Source organism: Homo sapiens, chromosome 10 (assembly GCF_000001405.40).
Source record: "Homo sapiens chromosome 10, GRCh38.p14 Primary Assembly".
Lineage (NCBI taxonomy): Eukaryota > Metazoa > Chordata > Mammalia > Primates > Hominidae > Homo > Homo sapiens.
The window spans coordinates 69,799,520-69,808,812 of record NC_000010.11 but is presented as its reverse complement, the minus strand read 5'-3'; the positions used below and the strand labels follow the sequence as shown (position 1 = coordinate 69,808,812).

General features: G+C 53.8%; 1 protein-coding gene and 1 long non-coding RNA gene across 44 annotated transcripts in view, besides 1 other annotated feature; one reads left to right on the top strand and one right to left on the bottom strand.

Moving 5' to 3' along the window:
* The window catches only part of COL13A1 (collagen type XIII alpha 1 chain), a 157,239-nt gene extending 150,332 nt beyond the window's left edge, over positions 1 to 6,907 (bottom strand). For all 43 annotated transcript variants that reach the window (XM_047424600.1, NM_001368882.1, XM_011539294.4 and 40 more), the window contains exon 1: positions 6,096 to 6,907. In XM_047424600.1, the coding sequence (XP_047280556.1) occupies positions 6,096 to 6,389 (294 nt within the window). In that variant the 5' untranslated portion in view covers positions 6,390 to 6,907. The remainder of the gene's footprint in view (positions 1 to 6,095) is intronic.
* Positions 841 to 2,040: an enhancer, noted in NCBI's record as "BRD4-independent group 4 enhancer chr10:71566529-71567728 (GRCh37/hg19 assembly coordinates)". NCBI's record gives its function as "activates an origin of replication core promoter dependent on BRD2, P300/CBP, MED14 and CDK7 cofactors, and independent of BRD4, by STARR-seq in HCT116 cells {active_cell/tissue: HCT116}" and the evidence as "EXISTENCE:reporter gene assay evidence [ECO:0000049][PMID:35650434]".
* Positions 7,042 to 8,950, top strand: LOC124902444 (uncharacterized). Its single transcript, XR_007062179.1, has 2 exons — positions 7,042 to 7,767; positions 8,677 to 8,950. It is a non-coding gene; the product is annotated as an uncharacterized LOC124902444 (long non-coding RNA).

The window sequence follows — 9,293 nt, the reverse complement described above, 5'->3', positions numbered from 1 at the left end:
AACCTTCCCCAGCCTCTAACAGGGGGACCTTACATCAACAGCTAATTTGTGAGAGCTGCGTATTATGTGCAAAGTCCTGGGCTAGAATTAATAAGGGACCCAAGACAGCATGCCTCTATCGCTGTCATCGGGTCATGTGTGGTCACATGGAGAGACCGTTGTACAATGTGGTTGGGTTGAACCATGAATGGCAAATGGATTTCCTCTTGTGCACTGACTCTAATGGACGGGAGCGGCAGCCTGGGTTGCTGTTCTCCGTGCCACTGGAGGACTGTGTCGAGAAGGATTCCGAGGCCTACCTAGGCTGAATGGGAAAGAGTGTATTGAGCGATGAGTAGTATCTGCTACCGTTTGGGATAAGGAAAGCCAACAACACATGCTATGTCTATTTTCCTTCTCTGAGCTAAATGTCTGGCACAACCTAGGAAGAGCAACAGGAAGTTGGAGCAGGGAGAGAGCCCACATTGGGTTGGAGTGGTTCGAGGAGGCTTTCCAGAGAGCAGTGGGGCAAGTCTAGAGTGATTAAGAAGAAGGGGAAAAGACATCTTTCTGGGAGTTATCAAACCGTAAAGCTGTGCTTAGGGCAGATGGAATGGTGTTTGAGATGCTTTTGGTTTTCCCCACCACCTTCCTATGAGGGTTGGCTGCCTCCTGAGGTCCTCAGTCTGTTCAGAGCTATCTGCTAGTTCGAAGACCTTTGGAGAAGCGGCAGAGCTCTAGTAATTCTCCCTGCCTTTATAGTAAGCACCTGTTATTAAAAAAACAAAATCTAGAGTTATGAAATAGCTTTTCGTCTTGAACACCAACCGTCACTAGTAAGTAGCAGCTTCCTGAACACTGTTGAAAAGGATTCTGAGGCTGCATGTAAGCTCCATGGGAAAGTGTGCAGCAATTGATTAATAATGTCTGCTGAGGGCCCTGGAATGGAGAGCAGGGCACACCCAAGCCATGTATGGGCCACTGCTGACCTAGTTAATTGTCTGGAAAGGGGAAGGTGTGGTGAAGGAGAGATGCCTGCTGGGGTCTGGATCCCACCCCTGACTCCTCTGGTACCACCTTGTGCTGGCTGCATTTGAGGAAACCTGGATCCAGAGTCTGTCCATATACTGAGGTCCAGTCAGCTGTGGTCAGCACAGGACACTGTGCACAGGTTACCCACCCTAGCACACATGTACATCCCCTTTAAGAGTCTCTTCCCATCCTCATCCCAGCATTTCAGTCCTAAAGGACCCCATCCACAGCCCCAATCTTTCAGCTGCTGCTTTGATCCCTCCCCTATATCTGTCCCCTACATCTCTTTGCCATTACTTTCAATGGCAAAAACTGAAATTACTTTTGCACCAAAATCACACACCGTATAAACATGAGACATGTTATTATAATTGTTGTTATTTTTAGGGATGAAGGAGTCTGCCTGGGGTTCCTTAACATTTTAGCTTGGAAGTTTCAACCACTTCCTCTCCCAGGAGATTCCTTAACATCCAAAGGAATGAATCACAGATAGTGGGAGGGAGGTACAGTGACATCAGTCTTCTCATCTGTAAAAGGGGGTGGTGTGAATGTCAGTCCCTTAGGGAAGTTGTGAGGATTGAAAGAGATATAGTGGTGACACGCATAGCATTGGCCCCTGTATGCACCCTATAACTACAGGACATTTCTATTACAGTTTCTGATGTTATTACTGGGGTTAGGGAGTCTACCTGGCATCTCTCAAAACTCACCTTAAAGGTGGCTGCTGAGACCCTCCTCTGCTTCCCCTTGGGCCTAGAAGATGGACTTGGCTCTTTATTTTAATTTTTATTTTTTGAGACGGAGTCTTGCTCTGTCGCCCAGGCTGGAGTGCAATGGCTCGATCTCAGCTCACTGCAAACTTCGCCTCCCAGTTCAAGCAATTCTCCTGCCTTAGCCTCCCGAGTAGCTGGGATTATAGGCACCCACCACCATGCCCGGCTAATTTTTGTATTTTTTAGTAGAGATGGGTTTTCACCATGTTGGTCAGGCTGGTCTTGAATTCCTGACCTCAGGTGATCCACCAACCTTGGCCTCCCAAAGTGCTGGGATTACAGGCATGAGCCACTGCACCCGGCCCAGCATTTGGCTCTTTTAAATTCCACTCCCTTCTCATTCACTGCACACGGCTGCCCAGTCCTAGGTGTCATCTGATTTTCTCCATTTGGGACATTCCAGCTTCTTTCTTCACAGCAAGCAAATCAAATAACAGGCAGCTGGAGTGCTCGTTAAGGGTCCCAGACCAGGAGAGAGGCGCTGATGGGGGAAGAGCTGGGGCCTGAGGTCTGGAAAGCACACTCCTGGTTCCCCACAGAGCTGGCTCCCGCCATCCTCCAATCCCGGCTCTGCACAACCCCCGTCATGGGCTGGTCCCCTCAGATCTGCCTCTGGCTCCCCTCTCAGGCCTCCTGTCCTCCTGGGTCCCCTTGGCCGGCCCTCCCTGCAGCTCCCTCTCCCTTCTGCCTCATACACGCAGTCTCTGCCCCCTCACCTGCTTTCCCCATTGGCATGGGAGTCCCACCCCCAGGCCATTGCACAGGCCGTGTGCCTCACCAGGCTTGCCCTCCCCAGTGTCCTTCTCCCATTCTTCAGGAAGTGGCCCAGTCCTGCCTGCTGCAAAGATTGCCTGCCCCAGATCCCTAAGGGCCCTCCCTGAGCACTCATCTGGTCTTGTGCATGGCCTTTGGTGATGGCACCTTTTAGTGAAGTCTCCGATCTGCCTCCAATCCCAGGAGGGAGGCAGGGCCTAGATTTAATGGAAGATGAACCTGAAGTGCAGGGGTGTAGCATGGCTTGCCTAAGGCCACAAGACTGGCAAAGCCCAGCTAGAATCCTGGTCTTGGCCTCCAAACTCACCAGATGCCTGTGTGTGCCCCATGAGGACAGGGACCTTCTGCACCTCCATTTTGGAGAATTGTTTTGTAACAAAACCATTTCCCCTCTCTTGTCTCTGAATTCTCCTGTCCTGTGGCAGGTTTTTGCCTGTCCCAATTTTCTGCCTTACCCATTGCTCTCCTCTGCCCTTTGCTCAGACCTTTGCTCAGACCTGGGAGAACACACCTACACAGGGAAAGGCCCAGGATGGTCCCCTCAAGTTGCTTTGCAGGCCCAGAAGCTGCTCGTAGCACAGCGCTGGCCAATAGAACTTTCTGCGAGGATGTACAAGTTCTTTCTCTCTACTGTCCAGCTCCATAGTCCCTAGCTGCAGTGTCCACTGAGCACTTGAAACCAGGCTGTTGCAACAGACAAGCTAAAATTTAAATTTTATTTAATTTTAGTTAGTTTAAATATAATGAGTTGCATATGACTAGCAGTTACTGTATTGGACAGCCCAACCCTAGGGTGTCCCTCCAGGAGCACAGACAAGGCCCCCACAGATAAGGCCACTCACGCCATCCACCTGTGGGACAGCTCCCTTCCTCTGGCTCCAGCATCTTCCCCTATTGACCTCAGCCACCATTTCCAGTCACCCCTCTCTGACCCTACTTTTACCCCCATTCATTGTCCCCTCTGGCCTGCAGCAGCCTTCTGTTTTTGGCCTTACTGCTTTGCCAGCCGTAAGCACTCACTCTAGGGGCATAACTGCCTTCCTGAAAACCCTTCAATGGCTCCCCATTACTCTTATTTAGATCTAACTTTCTCTAAGGCCCCTCTTGACCTGGGCTGCCCGTCTCTCTCCAGCCACATCTCCTACTTCCTCACACTCCCAGTCCTCCGGGGTCCTGGACTTCCCCCAGTTCTCCCAATTCCCTCTGGCCCCCAGCCTCAAAGGCTGTTCCGTTTGTCCCCTTAGAACAAGGCTTCACACTCGCCCGCTTTTGCCTGGCAAACTCCTATTCATCCTTCAGCTCTTCATTTGAAAATCATTTCCCTAAGGAAGCCTGCCATGACTGCCACCACCATCAGACAATGTTGCATGTAATGCATTCCCCAGGCCCCTCTCTTTTTTCACTATTGTAGCTTTTTTTTTTTTTTTTTTTTTTTTTTTTTTTTTGCACACGACATGGTCACTGCCCATTTTCTTCTTTGTGCACTACTTCCCTGTATGTAAGTTTAGGAGGGCAAAAGTGTCTCCCACAATGCCTGACCCGCAGCAGGCTCTCAGTAAACATTTTCTGAATGAATGAATGAGAATAGGCCAAAAAAAAAAAAAGGTGGCAGGATACAGCGCAAAGAACATTGTATACAGGGCCAGGAGGCTGAGGTTCTAGTCCTGGGCCTCGCCATGTGACTCTGGGCTCAACTTCCCCATCTGAAAAATGGGGTTCAGTTCAGATGCTCTCTGGGATAACTTTCATATCTAGCAGTTGAAAAGATTGTATTCAGTAGGGTAAATATGGAGCTGCAGCTTGGAGGGAAGGAGTGAGCATGTCGGATACAATAGTTAGCCCCAAGGCCCCTAGAGTATGCGACTTGGCATGTCTAAGTCTGAAGCAGTGGAAGCAAGAAGCTAGAAAAGGCCAGGGCATGGTCAGGCCAGCAGGAAGGTCTGGGAAGGGGAAAGCATGGAGAGAGGGGCTGTGCTAAACCCTGAAAATCAGATGCTTATCCCTCAGCAGCCAGGACCCCCGAGATACCTGGAGGAGCTCTCACTGCCCTGACACCTTCTTCACCACCCAGCCAGTCTGGGCTCATTCTGCCTGAGCCCAGAGATGCTGCACCTCCACCCCAGGCCCAGGGAACCATGGACGGCCCGATGGAGTTCTCCGGATTCCCTGGAGCCTGGCAGGGCGTGGGAATGAGCTGACAGCAGCAGTCATGGGTGCACCACTAGCACCAGTACGCTTGCCCTGTGACCGCTCTCTCTGCTCTGGCCCTGCAATCTCCTCCTTGGCCACCCTGGAGAACTGCTCCAGCAGGTGCCAGCCTGGCAGGGGCAGCTGAGAAGAGCCTGGCTATAGGGAATAGGTACATCTTGCCAAAATGCTCACAGCACCCCACCCACCACAGTTAGAGCTGTGCTCCAGTGTTTGCTACATCAGCACTGTTTCGCATGTTCAGAGGGGTTGGAGCGTTTGTCCCAAGCTTCCAAGTAGCAGAGTGGGGATAAAAACCCAGGGTTGCTGGCCTCTACCACCGTGATCTTTACTGCTGCACACTCCCTCCAGCTAAGTAAGATATCCTCTCCCATTTCTTCCCCATGGAAACCTTCCATGGCCAGGACCTTCCATGGCCAGGACCTGCTCCAGGACCTCTTCCCAGACTGCTGCGGCCCCCACCTGCCTGTCCTCCTCTCTATCTGGGCCCTGAATCCCCTGTGCTGTCCAGATTCCCACAGATCATCAAGCCTCACCCTGTCAAGGCCCAGCCTTTCCTCTGGTGGCACAAAGAGGCTGCATGTCCCTCCTTCCTGGGGAGGGGACAGCCTTTTCCTGTATTCCGAAGATTGCCATAGCTACCTGACACGCTAGTAGTGTTTAATCTACTTGGATCAAAAAAATTTGGAGAATGGAAGAAAGCATCCTTTCTCCAGAAAAATAAGAAACCTGGTTTAGGAAAAAGAAGGTGTGGACTAATTTGTGGCCAAGGACAGCAGAGCCAGGCGACCCACACTTGGACCCTAGCGGCCTGGGCCAGTGAGCAGAGACCAGGGCACCACCCCCTGCAAGAACTGTCCCCTCTCCCCGCACCCCCCGGGTCCTTAAGGGGTGGAGGGGGAGGGCCATGGGGGCTCAGTAAGCCTCGGCCTGGGCCTCTGGGCGCGCTTGCCGCTGCGCGGGCGCGGGGCGGCTGTCACACCACCCTGGCCGGGTCCCGAAAGGGAGGAGTGGAGCTTGCCCGCCTCCGCGAGCCTCCGCGCGCCCAGCCTTCCTCCACCTGCCCGGCGTGCCCAGGGCGCTCCCAGCGCTGGAAGCCGGGGGCGCTTGCCCGAGGCGGGAGTCGCTGGGTCATGCTCTTGCCCACCAGGTCCTCCGAATCCCTGGTAGGGCAGCGTCTGTCCGTGTCCCCGACCCCTCCCGCAGGCAACTCGCGCGAACCTGGGGCTCGCAGAGAGCGAGCGCCCGCGGACACCGGCTGAACAGTCTGGAGGCTGCGCGAGGGGGCGCCGCGGGGAGGGATAAAAGCCAGCAACAAAGAGCACAGACCTCGTCCAGCAGTTGATTGACTCGTCCCAAAATAGCCGTCTCCATTTGCTGCTCCCCGCGCTCCGCTTCCAGGCGCAGCACCCGGGCCTGCAGCTCGGCCGTCCGAAAGTGGGCGAGCAGGCTGAGTGCCAGCGAGCAGAGGGCCAGCGTCAGCAGCCCGCACGACCCTGGACTCGGCAGCCGTGCGCCGCGCTCCGCCCGCGCCGCCACCAGAGCCACCGTCCCGGGCGCGCCCAACTCCCCAGGGCCGCGGGCACCGGTGGCTGCCGCTTTGTGGGTGCGCTCCGCTACCATCCTCTCGCGTCTTGAGAACCAATAAATAAATAAATAGAATAAATAAAGGCGACAGCCGCTGCCAAAAGGCTCTATCCAAACTGCGGGGCAGGGGGAAAGGGCTTGTATCGCTGGAAAACGTCCCTTTCCGCTGCTCCCGGCAAAGAGGACGGAAAAATTAGCAGTAGGAGAGGAAGTGCCGAAAAAGCACAACCAGCGGTAATTGGGGTACACCTAGGTGAGAAAAAAGTTATTTCGAAGAACGTTCCAAGTCCAGGAAAGTTAGGGGAATCTGACCGGCTCTCCTTCTCTCCGCCCAGTCTTTCCCTTCAAGTGTCTGCAGAGCAGTTGGTGCCGCGCTGTCAGTCCTTCTGGGCGCCTCGTGTCTCCCGGGCCAGTCAGTTTCAGTCCCCGGGCGAAGGGGCGCACACGGAGGGCCCCATGGGCAGAGGTGGGTCGTGGCGGCTGGCGAGGAGCGCAGGGGCCGATTCCGGCGCCTCTGTAACTTGACACACTCCCTGCGGCGGCACGGATCGGATGAGCAATCCGTGCTACTTCCCAAACTAATCTCTCCCTCCCCCCTCCCTCCTCCTCCTCCTCCTCGTCACTCCTCCTCCACCTCCCGCGGGGCCGACGGCTTGGATTTGTTTATTTATGCAAACTCGCCCAGGGTGGGGGGCGTGGTGAGCAGGTCCGGCGGCCCCAGCCCGCCGGCCCGGGAGCCCCTCTGCCGCGCTCCCCGTCCTCTTTGAAGTGACACTTGGGGTTATTTATAGGCAGGAAGGGGGTGTGGAGTGGAGCTGGCGCTGCACTTCCCTCTCTTTCTCCGGATTCACACCGAGGGCTCGTTTGGCCTTCCACGGAGGCGGTGAGGCGGGCACCACCTTCCATGGACGCGTTGGGGCAGGCACCACTCCACCTTTCCCAGCCCTTGAGACCCTCCAGGAACTCGACTGAGTTATTGTCAGGGCTTGTGGGTGGATCTCCACGTCCTGATCAGGACTACCTGATCCCTTCAGCCACCGCTCCTCTACTCCCAAGCCCCCAACCTCTTTCCCCTTCCTTCTCCCCCGACAACCGACTCCCCGGGGGCTCTGTACCTCCTGAGATCTGCAGCTCCTCCAGTGCCGGGCGGCCAACCACATCTTTACTCTGGGGTGAAAAGTCAGCCCTCCAGGGGGCAGCAGAGCTGGCAGCCCTTCCTCTCAGGACCAAGACCTGAGGTAGTATGAGACACTGAAAACGGAGGAGATCTTATTCCAGGTATCTGAGAGGTGGCTCATTGGGGCCGCCTGCCAGTCCTGACATCTCCCCTTCTTGCCTGCCATTAATCTGAGACCCATGCCATCTATCCCTGTGTGGTGAGACCAGCCTGCCTCAATCATCCCAGTCATCAAAGGTGAGCAATTCCTACACAAACTCAGGTTCCATCCCTGCGGGAGGCTTAGGGCTAACCAGGCTCTCTCCTGTTGTCATTTCCTATATTCCACTAGAGAAAAACTGGTGGCCTGAAGGGCATTTGGTAGTTTTCTCTCTTCTCTTGTCACCTCCTCCACCCCCCACATTAAGTAGCATTTGTATCCCAAGAGACTTTATCTCCTTGTGCCTGTTGACATTCCTGTGAATGAGGTGGTGGGACTGAGTTTTTGGGAGAAAGCCTGTCTTCCTGGAACAGCGGGCAGAGGAGAGTAGACTGGGTTTTCAAATATGCAGTGGAGGTGGGGGCAGCAGTGGTGCTGGGATTCCATTTCAAAATAACAAGGCATGCCAGTACAAACTTCCCATTTTCTATATTGACCTGATGGAACTTGATATATAATACAGTGTCACTGCACTTCTAATAAAGTGTGGCACACTTAATAGTGCATATTGGACTTGTAACATAGTAAGTACTGAGATCATATGTAATAAAGGTAACATTGACTGCTGGGCCAGTCAGCCACTATGGAGGACAACAGGAATAGAAGGCGATGCTGCTGAAAGAGCCCGTGGCCAGGAGCTCTGGGTTCCAGTTCCAGTTCTAGGATTCTCCTGATGGCTTCAGTGGCAAGGGCACTCTGTTTTCTCCATCCCTGTGATGGGATGTCCCAGTCCACTCTACAGAGGAATGAATCCTTGGGAGACTTGGATGGTATTGAAGAACACCAGGGGGCGTTGGAGAGTTTCTGCACTGGGAGGTACAGGCCAGGAAATTCAGGGACTTTGGACTTCCCCCACTCCCCTCCCAGGCTAGTCTGAATGGAGGAACTGAGGTGGGGAGTTAGTTTCATTCCCTCCTTATTCTGCAAACTGATCTTTTCCCTTTCAGGACTTTGGAGGCCCTCAGGAATGCTCAGGCAGTGAAATCTAAACAGTTTGGAGCTGGAGCATCCTTGTGATTGGGAACTGAAAGAGGAGGGTGTTGCGCTAGCCTGACCTGGCCCCAGCATTGCAAACCCTGGAGCTTCCAGGGGGACTCTGGAGTCAGAGAAACCTGGGTGTAAATCTCCCTTTTGTCAATGTGGAAGCTGCTGAACATCTCGGAGGCTCAGTTTTCTCATTTGTAAGATGGGCTGATAATAAAAGTATCTACCCGTCTGGAAGGACTGAATGAGGTAATGTATGTAAAGCAGTGAACACAGTGCTGGCACAGGGCAGGCACTCAATAAAGGGCATCGGCTCCTTCTTTGGAATTCATGGCTGCTAGGGCCATCTCAGACACAGCTAGCTCTGGGCTCCCAGTTGTGAAACAGGAAGAAGTTTCCATCCCAGAGAAAGCAAATGGATCACAGTTAACCTCCATTTTTTCCCTACCTGACAGCTGAGAGTAGCAGCTTGTGAGCAGCAGGAGTTAGCTTGTGTTGAGGGGCCTGATCCCCAGGTATCCCTCTTCTTCTTCCCACACTGCTTAGAATTCTTGCCCTGGGAGATTTTTCTTTCAGGTAG